Raw genomic sequence first — 21,608 nt, forward strand, 5'->3', positions numbered from 1 at the left:
TGTTTTCTGTTGTTGCTCGCTTGTTTTCCTTATTTGATATAAGAAATTGTATGGCTATGGTCATGAGCAAGCCATTTAACCTCTGGGCTTCAGTTTCCTTTGTTTTGTTTTGTTTTGTTTTGTTTTGTTTTTTTGAGACGACATCTGGCCCAGACTGGAGTGCAGAGTGCAGTGGCACAATCTCAGCTCACTGAAACCTCCACCTCTTGGGCTCAACCCATCCTCCCACCTCAGTGTCCCAAATAGCTAGGACTACAGGCACGTGCCACCACACCTACCTAATTTTTGTAATTTTTGTAGAGACGAGGTTTTGTCATGTTGCCCAGGCTGATCTCGAACTCCTGAGCTTAAGCAATCTGCCCACGTCAGCCTTCCAAAGTTCTGGGACTACAGGTGTGAGCCACCACTCCCTGCTTCCTTTTTTTCTTTTTGACAGGAAGGGAAACTTAATGGCTACCTCAAGGATTGTTTTGAGAGTTAATTTAAGTAACGTGTAAGACATGTAAGAACTGTATAGCACTATGCCAAGTATTATAACAGATGTAATTTAGTGTTAATTTTAAAACATGTATTTTACCTCCTAGGTCAATATAGTCTATATTTAAACAGTATTTCTAATCAGCCAAAGGATGAGAACATTATGGGATTATTCAAAAAAACTGAAATGGTTTCATCTGTCCCAGCTGAAAATAAATCTGTCTTAAATGAACATCAGGAGACATCTAAACAGTGTGAGCAAAAAATTGCCATGTATGTAACTCCTATCTGTTGTTATTGTGTGGTCATCTTCAGAATATGGTTTTGCTTTTCCTTTACTTGCATGTGAAATAGTTACTCTGAATACTTAGAGCTATTTAAAAGCTTATTACTTAATATTTATGGAGTCAGTTGTGTAGAAATGTATGATACAGTTTCTGTTATCTTTTGTGTTTTACCTTAGAGAGAATGAATGGAAACCAGCTGATATATTCAGTACTCTGGGGGAAAGGGAATGTGATAGAAGTTCGTTGGAAGCAAAAAAAGCCCAGTGGAGGAAAGAGCTAGGTAGGTAACTTTTATACCTTTATTATAGTTTTATTGGCTTAAAGAATATGTATTGAAGCCGGGCACGGTGGCTCACACCTGTAATACCAGCACTTTGGGAAGCCGAGGTGGGTGGATCAGGAGGGCAAGAGATCAAGACCATCCTGGCCAACATGGTGAAATCCCATCTCTACTAAAAATATAAAAATTAGCTGGGCGTGGTGGTGCACGCCTGTAATCCCAGCTACTCGGGAGGCTGAGGCAGGAGAATTGCTTGAACCTGGGAGGCAGAGGTTGCAGTGAGCCAAGATCGTGCCACTGCACTCCAGCTGGGCTACCGAGCAAGACTCCATCTCAAATAAATAAATAAAAAAGAATATGTATTGAGGATGAAGTTTAGGGGCCAAGGGAAAACGTCCCCTTTGCCCTCTGGAGGTTTTCTGAAAGATCAACTGACAAAAGGCAAATTAATAAAAGGCATACAAATTTATTAACATGCATGGAAGTTTTACAAAATATAAAAACTAAAATAAATGGCCAGATGGCTGACACTTGTCCACCATGTTGAGGTTACAGAAACAATAGGGGTTGGAGCATGGCAAAACAGATTATGGGAGGGGGAGGAGAGGCAACCTGGCCAGTAAAAGTGTTTTTTTGTTTTGTTTTGTTTTGTTTTTTGAGATGGGGTCTCGCTGTGTTGCCCAGGCTGGAGTACAGTGGTGTGATCTCGGCTCACTGCAAGCTCCACCTCCCGGGTTCACGCCATTCTGCCTCAGCCTCCCCAGTAGCTGGGACTACAGGCACCCACTACCACGCCCGGCTAATTTTTTTGTATTTTTAGTAGAGACGGGGTTTCACTGTGTTAGCCAGGATGGTCTTGATCTCCTGACCTCATGATCCACCTGCCTCGGCCTCCCAAAGTGCTAGGATTACAGGCGTGAGCCACCACGCCCGGCCAAAAGTGGTTTTATTATGTACATGAGACCTCAAAGGTAGTAGCCTTCAGAGAACAGATGACAAATGTTTCCTTCAGACCTTTAAAGGTGTCAGACTCGGTTAATTTATCCTAGATCTGGACAGGGGAGAATCCTCAGAGAAAGCCTGGCTGCGTCATTGCAGATTTTCTCTACAGATGCAAATCTTCCCCACAAAAGACAGCTTTGCAAGGCTACTTCTGTTTGTAGGCCCTCTGAACAGCCATCTTGAAATGTGTCAAATTAATACATTTTGGGGTAAAACACTGTAGTTCCCTTTAAAGTATAGTTATCCCTCAGTATCCATGAGAGACTGGTTCAAGGATAGTCTTCCCACTTCAGGGTGCCAAAATGCACAGATGCTCATGTGGAATCCATGGATATGGAGGGCCTACTGTATATCTTTTAGTATGATATTATCAAAAGTCGTATTTTATAATATTTGACATCTAGAGTAGTTCTCTACAAATGCTTAAGAAACTTAGTGGTTTCATAATGCCTTAGGTCGTGTCTTTTTGTTACTCTGAAGTGTGCACCAAAAACATTAATGTCATCAGTACATTCTGCAGCCCTTGTAAGGTCAAAGATTTGTAAACTTTTCCCATTTCCTGGAAATCCTTTTTTATAATTTTTGATAGCAGACATCCTATGCGTTTAAGGATGGTTTTACTAAAAACTAATTGATTTCACTTTTTTAAATAACCAAAACATTCTAATGAAGAAGAATCATTGTTGTATCAGACAGTATGTATTCTAGACAGAAATAAGCTTATTGCTTTCTTTCAGCTTTGGACCTTATAACAGAAAAATCTATAATTTCTGTTAGAGTCTTGAAATTTCGTTAGTGACTAAGAAATATCCATTACTTCTTCGACTAAACTTGGAGTCTGCGTATCACAATCTGCAAAACATGTGACGTAACAGTTGTATTTCTTAGGAATAGCTATGCTAAAGGCATGAGATGGGCTTCACCCTAGTTGAAAAACAAGAAAGTCTTGTGAGGCCATCACTAACTTGGCTGGGATAGATGATTTAGAAAAAGAGATAAGCAAGACCAGCTGAGTGGCTCACATGTAATCCCAGCACTTTGGAAGGCCAAGATGGGAGGATTGCTTGAGGCCAGGGGTTCAACATCAGCCTGCTGGAGCAACAGAGTGAGACCCTATCTCTACAAAAAAACAGAGAGAAGCAGCAGAAATAAGGAGTGAATTGATGCTGGAAGTCAAGTGTGTTAGTCTGTTTTGTGTTGCTATAAAGGAATACCTGAGACTGAATAATTGATAAAAGAGGTTTATTTGGCCCACAGTTTTGCAGACTGTACAAGCATGGTACCAGCATCTCCTCGGCTTCTGGTGAGGCCTCAGGAAGCTTTTACTCACGGTGGAAGGCAAAGGGGGAGCAGGCATTTTACATGGCAAGAGAGATGCCAGGCTCTTTTACACAACCAGCTCTCATGTGAACTGACAGAGGGAGAACTCAAGCATCATCCCAAGGGGATGGCACCAAGCCATTCATGAGGGATTCATCTCCTGTGACCCAAACACCTCCCCTTAGGCCCCACCTCCAACACTGGGGAATCACATTTCAACATGAGATTTGAAGGGGACAAATATCCAAACTGTATCATCAAGGTAAAAGAAGAATGAAGAGATTAAACTTATGTTAGCAGTATCAGAAGGTTTGGCGGTCTTGATGTGTGTTTATATCACAATTTCATCTTTAAATATTTTCTTTCAGCACATTCCACATCAAAATGCAATACCAAATGTCTGAAATAATATGGAACTACTTGGAAATGACCAGAATATTTTGTGCTTTAATCATTTTTGTTGTTGTTGTTGTTTTGAGACGGAGTTTCATTCTTGTTGCCCAAGCTGGAGTGCAATGGCACCATCTCAGCTCACTGCAACCTCTGCTTGCTGGGTTCAAGTGATTCTCCTGCCTCAGCCTCCTGAGTAGCTGGGATTACAGGCACCTGCCACCATGCCCAACTTACTTTTTGTATCTTTAGTAGAGACAGGGTTTCACCATGTTGGCCAGGCTGGTCTCAAACTCCTAACCTCAGGTGATCCGCCTGCCTTGGCCTCCCGAAGTGCTGTGATTACAGTTGTGAGCCACCACACCTGGCCTTATGCTTTAATTATTTTAAAAATCAGTTTACTGTTTTTTTAACTTGTCTCAGTAAAGTGCCTCTATTTAAGTCATGCTTCCAGTAACATTCTTGGAATTTAAATTTATACAACATTGAATTTTGTATTTAAAGAACTACTGTTGATTGGGGGGTTAGTTTTGACTATATCTCTCAGACACAGGCTTTTATGTTTTTTACTTGTCAGCAATTAAGAAATAATAGCTAACATTCATTGAATATTTACTTTGTGCCAAGCCCTATATTGAGATAGGCACTATTATTATCCCCATTTTATAGAAGAAACCAAGGCTTAGAAAGCTTACCAGCAGTTGGCCAACTGCGGTGGGCTCATGCCTGTAATCCTACCACGTTGGGAGGCCGAGGCAGGTGGATCACAAGGTCAGGAAATAGAGACCATCCTAGCCAACATGGTGAAACCACATCTCCACTAAAATACAAAAATTAGCCGGGCGTGGTGGTGCTGCCTGTAGCCCCAGCTACTCAGGAGGCTGAGGCAGGGGAATCGCTTGAACCTGGGAGGCGGAGATTGCAGTGAGCTGAGATAGCGCCATTGCACTCCAGGCTGCTGACAGAATGAGACTCTATATTAAAAAAAAAAAAAGCTTACCAGCAGTTTGCTAACAGTCACGTAGCTGGGAAGTTGTTGAACTTGAATTTTAACCCATAGTTCTCTACTTCAGAATTCTAGCTTTTAATTCTCTTAATAATAATTGAATGAACATTACAGGAAACTAGAACCTCGTGATAATTGACAAAGTATAAAATAAGTTATTCCAATAAAACTGCTCCTTATTGGTAATTGTGATAATAAAATTGTACCATACTTAACTTTGGTTCTGATTAAATTTTTTCTTATTCTGTGTCCCTAAAAAATTATTCTCCACTTTGTGAGTTAATCTCCTTCCTAAAAAAGAGTTTTGATTAGATCTGTGTTGGTATCTGCATTAAGAAGGTCAGATTTGTTTACATGGTTCTGTTTTTACAGTTTTTGTACATTTTTTTAAAAAGGACATTATTTACAGATGAACAGGTTGCTTTAAAGAAGAAAGAAAAAGAAGTTTCTGAAAAATGGAATGATCCTTGGAAAAAATCTGAAAGTGATAAAATAATATGGGAAAAACATCAAATTCTTGACCAATCTAGGGTAAGACATCTTAATTGCAATTTTTAAAATACTAAGCAGTGTTCATATTATAGAATTTATTTTTAAAGCTTATTAAAAAAAAAAAGTTTTTTTTTTGAGACGGAGTTTCTCTCTTGTTGCCCAGGCTGGAATGCAGTGGCACAGTCTCAGCTCACTGCAACCTACCCCTCCCAGGCTCAAGCGATTCTCCTGCCTCAGCCTCCCGAGTAGCTAGGACTACAGGTACTCACCACCATGGCCAGCTAATTTTTTGTATTCTTAATAGAGATGGTATTTCACCACTCAGGATGGTCTCGAACTCCTGGCCTCATGTGATCTGCCAGCCTTGACCTCCCAAAGTGCTGGGATTACAGGCATGAGCCACCGTGCCCAGCCTATTTAAAAAAACTTGTCATATTTTTGGGTTTTTTGTATGTGTGTTTTTTTTAAAAAAAGAAACAGGGTCTTGCTCTGTTGCTCAGGCAGGTATGCAGTGGTGAAAACATAATTCCCTGCAGCCTTGAACTTCTGGACTGAAGGGATCCTCCTGCCTCTGCCTCCCAAATGGCTGGTACTACAGGTGTACTCCACCATGCCCAGCTAATTAAAAAAAATTTTTTTTAGAGACAGGGTCTCACTGTGTTGCTCAGGCTGGTGTCAAACTTCTGACCTCAAGCGATCCTCCCACCTTGGCCTCCTGAGTAGCTGGGATTGTAGGTGTGAGCCACTGGGCCTGGCTCATATGGTATTTTAAAACAGTGTTATTTTTAATTTAATTATGACCTTAACTGGTCTCTATTTACATTCTGTGAGTTGTCTCGTTATGTCGTTAGGTGAATGTAGAGGCTCCCTTTAGAGTCTTATAAAGGAGCTGTGCAATTTTTGAAATGAATACAAAACTCTGCCACTATGTGTAAGTGTTTAGTTATCAAATATACACATATGCCAAGTGTGTCTTGTGTAGTGCTTTTGTGATTTTTAAATTTTATCTGTGGTTAATTTTGGGTAAAGAAACAGTGTCACTGTTTTTCTATTTATTTTTACACTTCTGCTAGCTCTTCAAGCATTCTATCACAGTCTCGTAGCCAGGTTATGGTGGTCCAAGCTGATGGGGCATTCACAACTTAGAGCTAGTCAGACTTTAGAGGTAAGTCCTAAGTGTCAGTACTTTGGATATTTAAACCTTTTAGTATTTGACCTCTAACCTATTTTCCTTGAAGGAGAGAATCTAAGTCCTCCTTATTTTTAGTTATCAGTTAATTTTTACTTGAGTGTATTATGCTTCATTTGCTATCCCTTCCTCCTTGTGAACATTTACATTTTAGCAAATGTATTCTGAAAATAATGTAGTAACCTGAAGGGATGATTCTCCTAAAGAGATGATTCTGGTGGTAGAAATTTTTGGCACTATGGCCTAATTAGGTAAATTTCTTATAGAAACCCTTCAAGTTAAATTTTGTGCATGGCTGTCTGTTCTGCTTCATGTAGAGCTGACTTGCCTACATTGAATACTTTTGTTGTCTGTTGATAATTTTACATTAACAAAAGGAATGAAATCTGAATTGCATTTGCCCACAATCCCAAAAGCACATTGACTGAAAAGGCAATAAGGTTGTCTTGGTAGAACTCATTTTGGAAAATTCTGTAGCTCTGGGTGATAATTTTAAGTGTGTAAAGTTTAGAAGTTGTATGCAGACACCGTTAAAAGTTGTAGCTAAAACTAAGTTTTCATGAAGTTGGTGAGGATCCGTTGTTGGCTTATTTACTTTTCAACATCAGGATAAAAAATCTGTAATACTAAAAATGTTAAATAATTTCAGTTGCCAAATTTTCAGTTGAAATGTCAATATATAATTTATTTCTTAATTTGCATGGCTTTTTAGGTCATTTATTATCTGGGGATAATCCATACCATGATTGTTAATGCAAGTAAAGAACCATTTGAGGTGACATTTAGGTTTTAAAATATTTTGTATATATTTTTTAATGATAGTATTTGTCAGTTGATGAAATGACGAGGCTCATGAATTTGGAAAGGAGAACTTTATTTCTCATCAGCAGTTGCAACCTGCAGCATGGCCATTCTGACAGGCTGGGAAGCATAGCCTTCGGCCAACCAGGAGCCAGAAACTTCAAGGTGTTGGGGAAGGGAACAGGAATTTATGCTGAGTGAAGTGGCTGAATATACGTATTTAATAAGCATAGAAGGAGTCATGAATATTTATGAAAGGAGAAACATCCATGCACAATTGAGTTTTATGCCCCTTCATGGGTCCCATGTACAAAAAATGTCAGCGTTAGCATGATCCAAGGGTAGAGTTTTCAGCCCTCTGACATCAAAAAGTAAAGCAGAGGACACAAAAACCTTTTGGACAGAAGCATCAGGTGGTTGGTTGGTATCAGTGCTGACATCTTCTGAAGGGCTGGTTTCTGTTTAGCCCTTAGGCTAAATAGTGGTTAGCCAGGGAGGGAGGAGGTATAATGTGGTGTGTCTGATTTCCCCATCCACTCATGGCCAAGAACTCAGTTTTCAAGGCACTTTGGGGTCCTTGGCCAAGAGATCCATTCAGTTGGTTGGGGGACTTAGAATTTTACTTTTATTCCTCATGTGTATCTTTTTTTAAATAACTAAAAAAAAACAATAAAGTTATTTAAAAAATTTTTGGAATCAAAAGTTGTGGGGGTTGATGATGGGAGAAGGACTAGAAAACGAAACACATGCTATATCCAGGACTGGACAACCAAGAGTTAAAAGAGTATGATTATTGGCTCATTTTTTTTACTATTTAAATGCAGTTTTCGCTGGGTGCAGTGGCTCATGCCTGTAATTCCAGCACTTTGGGAGGCCGAGGTGGGCGGATCACGAGGTCATGAGATTGAGACCATCCCAGCCAACGTGGTGAAACCCCATCTCTGCTAAAAATACAAAAATTAGCTGGACATGGTGGCACGTGCCTGTAGTCCCAGCTATTTGGGAGGCTGAGGCAGGAGAATTGCTTGAACCTGGGAGGTGGAGGTTGCAGTGAGCTGAGATCGTGCCACTGCACTCCAGCCTGGGCGACAGAGCAAGACTCTGTCTCAAAAAAAAAAAAAAAATCAGTTTTTATGTATTTGTATGCGAATGTGGTACAAAATTGGAGAGATGTTATTGAGGGAAAAGGAATTTGCTGTGTAACAAAAAAGCCCTCTTCTCAAATACCTTAGAGCAGTTGTTTTCAGAAATCCCAGCTGTAGCCACAACTATTTATACTATTTGAATATCTAGTTAGTCTCTCCATATAATTGGGAGGGAAAGAAGTTTGGTTGTAGGCAGTCACCAAAGCCTTGAGTGTTAAAACATGAGGTAATGCATATGAAGTGCTTAGAATAGTGACTGACAATAGAACAAATGCTAACAAAGTTTTGTTCTACTTATAATTTAAAGAGTTGGGGTCTCACTTTGTTACCCAGGCTGAACAGGCACAGTCATGTTGCACTCCAGCCTTGAACTCCTGGGTTCAAGTGATTCTCCTGTCTCAGCCTCTAACTGGCTTATTTCACTTAGCATAATGTCCTCAAGGTTTACCCATACTGTAGCATGTGTCAGAATTTCATTTCTTTTTAATGCTAAATAACATCCTATTGTATGTATATACCATGTTTTCTTTATCCATTAATCCATGGATAGAAATTTGGATTGTTTCTACCTTTTGGCTATTGGGAATAATGCTGCTATGAACATTGGTGTATAAATAATCTTTTTGAGTTCCTGCTTCAATTCTTTTGGGTGTGTACTCAGAATTGGAATTGCAGGATTGTGTGGTAATTTTTTGTTTAATTTTTATGTTAAATTTTTACCAATTTTAATTTTGTAATTTTGTGTTAAACTATTTTGTGTTAAATTTTGTGTTAAACTGCTTTCCACAGCAGCTGTACCATGTATATTTCCATCAGCAGTGCACTGTGTTCCAATTTCTTCACATCCTCACCAACACTTACTTTCTGATTTATTGACAGTATCCATCCCAATGGTTGTGAAATGGTATCATTGTGGTTTTCATTTGCACTTCCCAATGATTAGTGATGTGGAACATTTTCCCACAGGCTTATTGACTATTTGCATGTATTTGAAGAAATGTCTATTGAGATCCTTTGCCCATTTCAGTCAGGTTTTTTGGGGGTTTTTTTGTTGTTGAGTTGTAGGAGTTATATATTTTGTATGATAATCCCTTGTCAGATACATGATTCACAACTGTTTTCTCCCATTCTGTGAGCTACTTTTTCACTCTCTTGATAATAGTGTCCTTTGATGCACAAAAGTCTTTAATTTTGATGAAGTCTGTTTTATCTCTTTTCTTTTGTTGCCTGTGTTTTTAATGTCCTATCAAAGAAATCATTGCCAAGTCTGATCATCGGACTGTATTTTCTTCTAAGAGTTTTCTAGTTCTAGCTCTTATGTTTAGGTCTTTGATCTATTTTGAATTAAGTTTTCTATATGGTATAAGGTCAGGGCCCTACTTTATTCTTTTGCATGTGGACATCTAGTTTTTCCTAGCACCATTGTTGAAGAATGTCCTTTCCCCATTGAATGGTGTTGGCTCCCTTGTCCATAACTATTTCACTGTGTATGTGAGGATTTATTTCTGGTCTCCTCTATTCCATTAGTCTGTCTGTATGCTACTGCCTCACCATCAGGAACTATGACCCTTCCAACTTTCTTCTTTTTTAAGATTGTTTTGTCTATTCGTGGTCCCTTGAGATTCCATATGAATTTTAGGATGGATTTTTCTATTTCTGCAAAAAAAAAAGATTATTGATATTTTCATAGAGATTGCATTGAAACTGTAGATTGCTTTGGGTAATATTAATATCTCAATAATATTAAGTCTTCCAATTAATGAATGCAGGATATCTTTCCATTTATTTGTGTCTTTAATTTTTTTTCAGCAATGTTTTGTAGTTTTCAGTGTACAAGTCTTACTCCTCCTTGGTTAAGTTTTTCTTTTTAATTTTTTAAATTTTTTTTGTTTTTTTATATATTTTTCTTTTTATTGTTTTGGTTAAGTTTATTCCTAAGTATTTTTTCTTTTTGATGCCATTGTACATGGGATTTTTAAAAAAAATTTTATGCCATTGTACATGGAATTTTTTTTTTTATTATTATACTTTAAGTTCTGGGGTAAATGTGCACAACATGCAGGTTTGTTACATATGTATACATGTGTCATGTTGGTGTGCTGCACCCATTAACTCGTCATTTACATTAGATATACCTCCTAATGCTATCCCTCCTCCCTCCCCCCACCCCACGACAAGCCCCGATGTGTGATGTTCCCCACCCTGTGTCCAAGTGTTCTCATTGTTTAGTTCCCACCTATAAGTGAGAACATGCAATGTTTGGTTTTCTCTCCTTGCAATAGTTTGCTTAGAATGATGGTTTCCAGCTTCATCCATGTCCCTACAAAGGACATGAACTCATCTTTTTTATGGCTGCAGAGTATTGCATGGTGTATATGTGCATAGTATTCCATGGTGTATGTGTATTAATCCAGTCTATCATTGATGGACATTTGGGTTGGTTCCAAGTCTTTGCTATTGTGAATAGTGCCGCAGTAAACATACGTATGCATGTGTCTTCATAGCAGCATGATTTATAATCCTTTGGGTATATACCCAGTAATGGGATGGCTGGGTCAAATAGTATTTCTAGTTCTAGATCCTTGAGGAATTGCCACACTGTCTTCTACAATGGCTGAACTAGCATGTAGTCCCACTAACAGTGTAAAAGTGTTCCTATTTCTCCACATCCTCTCTAGCACCTGTTGTTCCCTGATTTTTTAATGATCACTATTCTAACTGCTGTGAGATGGTATCTCATTGTGGTTTTGATTTGCATTTCTCTGATGGCCAGTGATGATGAGCATTTTTTTCATGTGTCTGTTGGCTGCATAAATGTCTTCTTTTGAGAAGTGTCTGTTCATATCCTTTGCCCACTTTTTGATGGAGTTGTTTGATTTTTTCTTATAAATTTGTTTAAGTTATTTATAGATTCTGGATATTAGCCCTTTGTCAGATGAGTAGATTGCAAAATTTTTCTCCCATTCTGTAGGTTGCCTGTTTACTCTGATGGTAGTTTCTTTTGCTGTGCAGAAGCTCTTTAGTTTAATTAGATCCCATTTGTCAATTTTAGCTTTTGTTGCCATTGCTTTTGGTGTTTTAGTCATTTTGTCCATGATGTCCTGAATGATATTGCCTAGGTTTACTTCTAGGGTTTTTATGGTTTTAGGTCTTAGGTTTAAGTCTTTATTTCATCTTGAGTTAATTTTTGTATAAGGTGTAAGGAAGGGAAGGGGTCCAGTTTCAGTTTTCTGCATATGGCTAGCCAGTTTTCCCAACACCATTTATGAAGTAAGGAATCCTTTCCCCATTGCTTGTTTTTGTCAGGTTTGTCAAAGATCAGATGGTTGTAGATGTGTGGTGTTATTTCTGAGGCCTCTGTTCTGTTCCAGTTGTCTATATATCTGTTTTGGTACCAGTACCATGCTGCTTTGGTTATGGTAACCTTGTAGTGTAGTTTGAAGTGAGACAGCATGATGCCTCCAGCTTTGTTCTTTTTGGTTAGGATTGTGTTGGCTATTTGGGCTGTTTTTTGATTCCATAAGAAATTTAAAGTAGTTTTTTCCAATTCTGTGAAGAAAGTCAGTGGTAGCTTGATGGGGATAGCATTGAATCTATACATTACTTTGGGCAGTATGGCCATTTTCACAATATTGATTCTTCCTATCCATGAGTATGCAATGTTTTTCCATTTGTTTGTGTCCTCTTTTATTTCCTTGAGCAGTGATTTGTAGTTCTTGAAGCGGTCCTTCACATCCCTTGTAAGTTGTATTCCTAGGTATTTTATTCTCTTAGTAGCAGTTGTGAATGGGAGTTTGCTCATGATTTGGCTCTCTGTTCTTGGTGTATAGGAATGCTTGTGATTTTTGCACATTGATTTTGTATCCTGAGACTTTGCTGAAGTTGCTTATCAGCTTAAGGAGATTTGGGGCTGAGATGATGGGGTTTTCTAAATATACAATCATGTCATCTGCTAACAGAGACAATTTGACTTCCTCTTTTCCTATTTGAATACCCTTTATTTCTTCCTCATACCTGATTGCCCTGGCCAGAACTTCCAATACTATGTTGAATAGGAGTGGAGAGAGAGGGCATCCTTGTTTTATGCCGTTTTTCAAAGGGAACGCTTCCAGTTTTCGTCCATTCAGTACGATATTGGCTGTGGGTTTGTCATAAGTAGCTCTTATTATTTTGAGATACGTTCCATCAATACCTAGTTTATTGAGAGTTTTTAGCATGAAGGAGTGTTGAATTTTGTTGAAGGCCTTTTGTGCAACTATTGAGATAATCATGTGGTTTTTGTCATTGGTTCTGCTTATGTGAATAGATTACGTTTATTGATTTGCGTATGATGAACCAGCCTTGCATCCCAGATAAGAAGCCAACTTGATCATGGTGGATAAGCTTTTTGATGTGCTGCTGGATTCGGTTTGCCAGTATTTTATTGAGGATTTCTGCATCGATGTTCATCAGGGATATTGGTCTAAAATTCTCTTTTTTTGTTGTGTCTTTGCCAGGCTTTGGTATCAGGATGATGTTGGTCTCATAAAATGAGTTAGGGAGGATTCCCTCTTTTTCTATTGATTGGAATAGTTTCAGAAGGAATGGTACCAGCTCCTCTTTATACCTCTGGTCGAATTTGGCTGTGAATCCGTTTGGTCCTGGACTTTTTTTGGTTGGTAGGCTATTAATTATTGCCTCAATTTCAGAACCTGTTATTGGTCTATTCAGGGATTCATCTTCCTGGTTTAGATGTGGGAGGGTGTATGTGTCCAGGAATTTATCCATTTCTTCTAGATTTTCTAGTTTATTTGTGTAGAGGTGTTTATAGTATTCTCTGATGTTAGTTTGTATTTCTGTGGGATTAGTGGTGATATCCCCTTTATCATTTTTTATTGCATCTATTTGATTCTTCTCTCTTTTCTTCTTTATTAGTCTTGCTAGTGGTCTATCAATTTTGTTGATCTTTTCAAAAAACCAGCTCCTGGATTCATTGATTTTTTTTGAAGGGTTTTTTGTGTCTCTATCTCCTTCAGTTCTGCTTTGATCTTAGTTATTTCTTGCCTTCTGCTAGCTTTTGAATGTGTTTGCTCTTGCTTCTCTAGTTCTTTTAATTGTGATATTAGGGTGTCAATTTTAGATCTTTCCTGCTTTCTCTTGTGGACATTAAGTGCTATAAATTTCCCTCTACACACTGCTTTGAATGTGTCCCAGAGATTCTGGTATGTTGTGTCTTTGTTCTCATGGTTTCAAAGAACATGTTAATTTCTGCCTTCATTTCGTTATGTACCCAGTAGTCATTCAGGAGCAGGTTGATCAGTTTCCATGTAGTTGAGTGGTTTTGAGTGAATTTCTTAATCCTGAGTTCTAGTTTGATTGCACTGTAGTCTGAGAGATAGTTTGTTAAAATTTCTGTTCTTTTACATTTGCTGAGGAGTGCTTTACTTCCAGCTTCGTGGTCAATTTTGGAATAAGTGTGATGTGGTACTGAGAAGAATGTTTATTCTGTTGATTTGGGGTGGAGAGTTCTGTAGATGTCTGTTAGGTCTGCTTGGTGCAGAGCTGAGTTCAATTCCTCGATATCCTTGTTAACTTTCTGTCTCGTTGATCTGTCTAATGTTGACAGTGGGGTGTTAAAGTCTCCCATTATTATTGTGTGGGAGTCTAAGTCTCTTTGTAGGTCTCTAAGGACTTGCTTTATGAATCTGGGTGCTCCTGTATTGGTTGCATATATATTTAGGATAGTTAGCTCTTCTTGTTGAATTGATCCCTTTACCAGTATGTAATGGCCTTCTTTGTCTCTTTTGATCTTTGTTGGTTTAAAGTCTGTTTTATCAGAGACTAGGATTGCAACCCCTGCTTTTTTTTGTTTTCCATTTGCTTGGTAGATCTTCCTCCATCCCTTTATTTTGAGCCTGTGTGTGTCTCTGCATGTGAGATGGGTCTCCGGAATACAGCACACTGATGGGTCTTGACTCTTTATCCATTTTGCCAGTCTGTGTCTTTTAATTGGAGCATTTAGTTCATGAACATGTAAGGTTAATATTGTTCTGTGTGAATTTGATCCTGTCATTATGATGTTAGCTGGTTATTTTGCTCATTAGTTGATGCAGTTTCTTCCTAGCCTCGATGGTCTTTACAATTTGGCATGTTTTTGCAGTGGCTGGTACCGGTTGTTCCTTTCCATGTTTAGTGCTTCCTTCAGGAGCTCTTGTAAGGCAGGCCTGGTGGTGACAAAATCTCTCAGCATTTGTTTGTTTGTAAAGGATTTTATTTCTCCTTCATTTATGAAGCTTAGTTTGGCTGGATATGAAATTCTGGGTTGAAAATTCTTTTCTTTAAGAATGTTGAATATTGGCCCCCACTGTCTTCTGGCTTGTAGAGTTTCTGCTTAGGGATCCACTGTTAGTCCGATGGGCTTCCCTTTGTGGGTAACCTGACCTTTCTCTCTGGCTGCCCTTAACATTTTTTCCTTCTTTCAACTTTGGTGAATCTGACAATTATGTGTCTTGGGGTTGCTCTTCTTGAGGAGTATCTTTGTGGTGTTCTCTGTATTTCCTGAATTTGAATGTTGGCCTGCCTTGCTAGGTTGGGGAAAGTTCTCCTGGATGATATCCTGCAGAGTGTTTTCCAACTTGGTTCCATTCTCCCCATCACTTTCAGGTACACGAGATGTAGATTTGGTCTTTTCACATAGTCCCATATTTCTTGGAGGCTTTGTTTGTTTCTTTTTACTCTTTTTTCTCTAAACTTCTCTTCTTGCTTCATTTCATTCATTTGATCTTCAGTCACTGATACCCTTTCTTCCACTTGATCAAATTAGCTACTGAAGCTTGTGCATTTGTCATGTAGTTCTCGTGCCATGGTTTTCAGCTCCATCAGGTCATTTAAGGACTTCTCTACACTGTTTATTCTAGTTAGCCATTTGTCTAATCTTTTTTCAAGGTTTTTAGCTTCTTTGCAATGGGTTGGAACATCCTCCTTTAGCTTGGAGAAGTTTGTTATTACCGATCGTCTGAAGCCTTCTTCTCTCAACTCATCAAAGTCATTCTCTGTCCAGCTTTGTTCCATTGCTAGTGAGGAGCTATGTTCCTTTGGAGGAGAAGAGGTGCTCTGATTTTTAGAATTTTCAGCTTTTCTGCTCTGGTTTCTCCCCATCTGTGTGGTTTTATCTACCCTTGGTCTTTGATGATGGTGACGTACAGATGGGGTTTTGGTGTGGATGTCCTTTCTGTTTGCTAGTTTTCCTTCTAACAGTCAGGACCCTCAGCTGCAGGTCTGTTGGAGTTTGCTGGAGGTCCACTCCAGATCCTGTTTGCCTGGGTATCACCAGCGGAGGCTTCAGAACAGCAGATATTGCAGAACAGCAAATGTTGCTGTCTGATCCTTCTTCTGGAAGCTTCATCTCAGAGGGGCACCCAGCTTTATGAGGTGACAGTCGGCCCCTACTGGGAGGTGTCTCCCAGTTAGGCTACTCGGTGGTTAGGGACCCACATGAGGAGGCAGTCTGTCCGTTCTCAGATCTCAAACTCTGTGCTGGGAGAAGCACTACTCTCTTCAAAGCTGTCAGACAGGGACGTTTAAATCTGCAGAAGTTTCTGCTGCCTTTTGTTCAGCTATGCCCTGCCCCCAGAGGTGGAGTCTACAGAGGCAGGCAGGCCTCCTTGAGCTGCGGTGGGCTCCACCCAGTCCGAGCTTCCTGGCTGCTTTGTTTACCTACTCAAGCCTCAGCAATAGGGGACGCCCCTCCCCAGCCTTGCTGCCGCCTTGCAGTTCAGTCTCAGACTGCTGTGCTAGCAGTGAGCGAGGCTCCGTGGGCGTGGGACCCTCCAAGCCAGGTGCAGGATATAATCTCCTGATGTGCCATTTGCTAAGGCCATTGGAAAAGCGCAGTATTAGGGTGGGAGTGTCCCGATTTTCCAGGTACCGTCTGTCACGGCTTCCCTTTGCTAGGAAAGGGAATTCCCCGACCCCTTGCACTTCCAGGGTGAGGCGATGCCCCACCTGCTCCGTGGGCTGCACCCACTGTCTGACAATCCCCAGTGAGATGAACCTGGTACCTCAGTTGGAAATGCAGAAATCACCTGTCTTCTGCATTGCTCACGCTGGAAGCTGCAGACTGGAGCTGTTGCTATTTGGCCATCTTGGAACCTCCTCCGGAATTTTTTTAAATACCCTTTAAGAATTGTTCTTTATTGGTATATAGATTAGTATGTAGAAACACAACTTATTTTTGTGTGTTGGTTTTATCTCCTGCAACTTTGCTGAATTTATTCTAAAAGTGTTTTTTAGAATCTTAGTGATGGTCATTGTCCAGTGCAAGAGTTTGATGTGGATCCTTCTGGTACTATTTTGCTTTCTTGATGAGTAGATACATAAACTTCGATCTACATTAATGCTCAAGATAGTCATATATGCATAATCATAATTGAATTCTACATATCTTTCCCTTTTTTGACTTCTCAACTTTCTTTATTATTATTATTATTATTATTATTATTATTATTATTATTATTAGATAGGGTCTCATAACCTGTCACCCAGGCTAGAATGCACTGGCACAATCACGGCTAACTGCAGCCTTGACCTTCCTGGGCTCAAGCAATCCTCCCATCTCAGCCTTACAAGTAGCTGGGACTACAGGTACCTGCCACCATGACTGGCTAATTTTTCGTATTCTGTAGAGACAGGGTTGCTCAGGCTGGTCTCAAACTCCTGGGTTCAAGCAGTGCAACTGCCTTTGCCTCCCAAAGGGCTGGGATTATAGGCTTGAGCTGCTGTGCCTGGCCAACTTTCTGACTTTTAAAAATATTATATGTATTTGTGAAATGCAAAAAAAACATAAAGGATAGTACAGAAGACATTTCTATCATGTCATACATATTTAGGAAGAGCCCCTCGTATGGCATAGTTAAGAGGTTTTTGTTTGTTTGTTTGTTTTATTGATCATTCTTGGGTGTTTCTCCCAGAGGGGGATTTGGCAGGGTCATAGGACAATAGTGGAGGGAAGGTCAGCAGATAAACAAGTGAACAAAGGTCTCTGGTTCTCCTAGGCAGAGGACCCTGCGGCCTTCCGCAGTGTTTGTGTCCCTGGGTACTTGAGATTAGGGAGTGGTGATGACTCTTAGGGAGCATGCTGCCTTCAAGCATCTGTTTAACAAAGCACGTCTTGCACCGCCCTTAATCCATTTAACCCTGAGTGGACACAGCACATGTTTCAGAGAGCACAGGGTTGGGGGCAAGGTCATAGATCAACAGCATCCCAAGGCAGAAGAATCTTTCTTAGTACAGAACAAAATGGAGTCTCCTATGTCTACTTCTTTCTACACAGACACAGCAACAATCTGATATCTCTATCTTTTCCCCACATTTCCCCCTTTTCTATTCCACAAAACCGCCATCGTCATCATGGCCCGTTCTCAATGAGCTGTTGGGTACACCTCCCAGACGGGGTGGCGGCCAGGAAGAGGGGCTCCTCACTTCCCAGAAGGGGCGGCCGGGCAGAGGCGCCCCCCACCTCCCGGATGGGGCGGCGGCTGGGCGGGGGCTGCCCCCCACCTCCCTCCCGGACGGGGCGGCTGGCCGGGCGGGGGCTGCCCCCCACCTCCCTCCCGGACGGGGCGGCTGGCCGGGCGGGGGGCTGCCCCCCACCTCCCTCCCGGACGGGGCGGCTGGCCGGGCGGGGGCTGCCCCCCACCTCCCTCCCGGACGGGGCGGCTGGCCGGGCGGGGGCTGCCCCCCACCTCCCTCCCGGACGGGGCGGCTGGCCGGGCGGGGGCGGCCCCCCACCTCCCGGGCGGGGCGGCTGCCGGGCGGAGACGCTCCTCACTTCCCAGACGGGGTGGCTGCCGGGCGGAGGGGCTCCTCACTTCTCAGACGGGGCGGCTGCCGGGCGGAGGGGCTCCTCACTTCTCAGACGGGGTGGCTGCCGGGCGGAGGGGTTCTTCACTTCTCAGACGGGGCGGCTGCCGGGTAGAGGGGCTCCTCACTTCTCAGACGGGGCGGCTGCCGGGTGGAGGGGCTCCTCACTTCTCAGACGGGGCGGCCAGGCGGAGACGCTCCTCACCTCCCAGACGGGGTCGCGGCCAGGCAGAGGTGCTCCTCACATCCCAGACGGGGCGGCAGGGCAGAGGCGCTCCCCACATCTCAGATGATGGGCAGCCGGGCAGAGACGCTCCTCACTTCCCAGATGGGATGGCGGCCGGGAAGAGGCGCTCCTGACTTCCCAGACTGGGCGGCCGGGCAGAGGGGCTCCTCACATCCCAGACGATGGGCAGCCAGGCAGAGACGCTCCTCACTTCCCAGGCAGGGTGGCGGCCGGGCAGAGGCTGCAATCTCGGCACTTTGGGAGGCCAAGGCAGGTGGCTGGGAAGTGGAGGTTGTAGCTAGCCGAGATCACTCCACTGCACTCCAGCCTGGGCAACATTGAGCACTGAGTGAACGAGACTCCGTCTGCAATCCCAGCACCTCGGGAGGCCGAGGCTGGCAGATCACTCACGGTTAGGAGCTGCAGACCAGCCCGGCCAGCATAGCGAAACCCCGTCTCCACCAAAAAAATATGAAAACCAGTCAGGCGTGGCGGCACACGCCTGCAGTCGCAGGCACTCGGCAGGCTGAGGCGGGAGAATCAGGCAGGGAGGTTGCAGTGAGCCGAGATGGCAGCAGTACAGTCCAGCTTCGGCTCGGCATCAGAGGGAGACAGTGGAAAGAGAGGGAGAGGGAGACCATGGGGAGGGGGAGGGGGAGAGGGAGAGGGAGGGAGAGGGAGAGGGAGAGGGACTAGTTAAGAGTTTTTTAAGAAAATATTCACTCAGTTTTTATCTACTCATATCTTAAGGAATTGAAGTGGTCCAGGAAATCTTTGTACAGGAATAGGCCCAACATAAGATGGGTGGAAGAAAACAACAATACATACAATCATAGGAAAGAAAAAAGACTTGGTATAACATTAAATTTAAAATACAGTGAGGAAAAAGAAGAAATTGCTGTGGGAACACTCCCAGAATATAGGAAGAAGTTTCAAAAGAGATGAAAAATCTGGCATCAAAGATATTATAAATAGCTTATAAAAATACAATCTTGAATCATAGGCTTTCCTAAAGAAGAAAACAGAAGTAATAATATATCAAGTTTCATAGAAAAAACTTTCTAGATCCAGAAGAAAATTAGGTTGAATGAAAAGAGGGCCAATTTGAAGGTATATCATAATAAGTTTGCAAATATCAAGAATAAGGATATACTTCTTCAAGCATTTAAATATGAGAAAATGACAACAAAAATCAAAGTAACCTTAGTTTTCTTCTCTGTATATAGTATAGCAATATTTATAAGGGTTTAATAAATAGAGCTAAAATATTTAATGCCTAGACAAGATGTTCATTTATAAAGAGAACATAGACATACTCAGACCTGAATAATTACATAAAATATTTCTCCCAAATATTTCTTTTAATACAAAAGTTCTTAAAGATCATTTCTGGATCAGAAAAATGGGTCAAAATTAAAACAATTTACAAGAATTTTGTGGTTAGAAAGTAATGAGTAGCTGACACAAAAGTCTCTAAGACATTGTGAAATGAAAAGAGTAATGCATATACTATAACCATATCTATATTTAAAGAAAGACTTTAAAAGACTAGTACATACATAAACACACAAACACACACAAAAAGCAGAATGGTGGTATTGTCTCACTCTGGTGAAGGACAGTGGAAGGAAACAAGGAGAACCTTCTAATTCTTTATGCATTTGTTTTGTTAGAATATTGTGCAAAGTGTTTAGCTGTTGTGTGATCTCTCCATAAAGGCAGAGTTTATTATGATTGTGAAAATCAGATAAAAGTTAAAGAATGTACAAAACTAAAGTAACCGGCCAGGCGTGGTGGCTCACGCCTGTAATCCCAGCACTTTGGGAGGCTGAGGCGGGTGGATCACGAGGTCAGGAAATCGAGACCATCCTGGCCAACATGGTGAAACCCCATCTCTACTTAAAAAATACAAAAAAATTAGCCGGGTGTGGTGGCGCACGCCTGTAATCCCAGCTACTCAGGAGGCTGAGGCAGGGGAATGGCTTGAACCTGGGAGGCAAAGGTTACAGTGAGCTGAGATCACACCACTGCACTCTGGCCTGGGGGCAGAGCAAGACTCTTTCTCAAAAAAAAAAAAAGAAAAAAAGAAAACTAAAGTAATCATTAGTATAATTATAAAGAGTATCTGCCAACATAGTTTGTACAGTAAACATCAAGATAAATAGTAATAGCAAGATAACAAGAATCAACTCTGAAAAGTCAAAAATCCTTTGTTAAAAAGCAGAGATATGAAAACTCCAAAGACTTGATGCTTAAAAGAGACATACTTACAATAAAATTATACATTATTAAAAATTATGGGCTGGATACAGTGGCTCATGCCTATAAGCCCAGCACTTTGGGAGGCCAGGGCAGAAGAGTAGCTGCCTTGAGCCAAGAGTTTGAGACCAGCGTGGGCAACATAGTGAGACCCTGCCTCCACAACACAAAAAAACTAAAAAATTAGCCGAGCATGGTGGGATGTTCCTGTAGTCCTAGCTATTCTGGAGGCTGAGGTGAAGGAATTACTTTAGCCCAGGAGTTAGAGGCTGCAGTGAGCTATGATTATGCTTGGGCCACAGAGCAAGACCCTGTCTCTAAAAAGAGATAAGATGCCAATATATTATTACTATTTGTATTGGTGGTTCTAGGCAATATAACAAGGAAAATAAATTTCAAGTCCTAAGAATTGGAGAGGAAAAAATGAAAGTGTAGTTATTCGTCATGTGTATAGAAACCCCAAAGAATCTATAGATGAAATATTCAAAGTAAAAAGTGAGAATTAATAATTTATTAGGCTATAAAAGTCTCAACAAATTTCATAGGTTCACATTACATAGAATGTTATAGTGGATTTTATTAGTTTGTTCTCTCATTACTGTAAAGAAATCTCTGGGGACTGGGTAATTTATAAAGAGGTTTAATAGGCTTACAGTTTTGCAGACTATACAGAAAGCATAGTGGCTTCTGCTTCTGGGGAGGCCCCAGGGAGCTTTCAGTCATGGTGGAAGGCAAAATGGAAGCAGGCATCTAACATGGCAGAAACAGGACCAAGAGAGAAGTAGCAGGGAGGGCTACACACTTTTAAACGACCAGATCTTACCATGAAAAACAATGTGGAGATTCCTTAAAGAACTAAAAGTTAGGCTGGGCGTGGTGGCTCATGCCTGTAAT

At 41.2% G+C, this 21,608-nt stretch overlaps 1 protein-coding gene across 40 annotated transcripts in view; it reads left to right on the forward strand.

Moving 5' to 3' along the window:
* The window catches only part of CCDC66 (coiled-coil domain containing 66), a 64,682-nt gene that overhangs the window by 8,854 nt on the left and 34,220 nt on the right, over window positions 1-21,608 (forward strand). For 20 of the 40 annotated variants that reach the window (NR_148367.1, NR_148366.1, NR_148368.1 and 17 more), the window contains 3 exons: window positions 585-750; window positions 941-1,044; window positions 5,172-5,293. Coding sequence is in view for 25 of the 40 variants with exons in the window: in XM_047448017.1 (XP_047303973.1) it covers window positions 585-750; window positions 941-1,044; window positions 5,172-5,293 (392 nt within the window). In the remaining 15 variants the exon portion in view is untranslated. Of the gene's footprint in view, window positions 1-584; window positions 751-940; window positions 1,045-5,171; window positions 5,294-5,417; window positions 5,516-6,327; window positions 6,420-21,608 lie in introns of those variants that run through there. The other 20 variants (NR_148369.1, NR_148376.1, XM_047448018.1 and 17 more) reach the window with 8 other exon arrangements.

Source organism: Homo sapiens, chromosome 3, assembly GCF_000001405.40.
Source record: "Homo sapiens chromosome 3, GRCh38.p14 Primary Assembly".
NCBI classification, from domain to species: domain Eukaryota; kingdom Metazoa; phylum Chordata; class Mammalia; order Primates; family Hominidae; genus Homo; species Homo sapiens.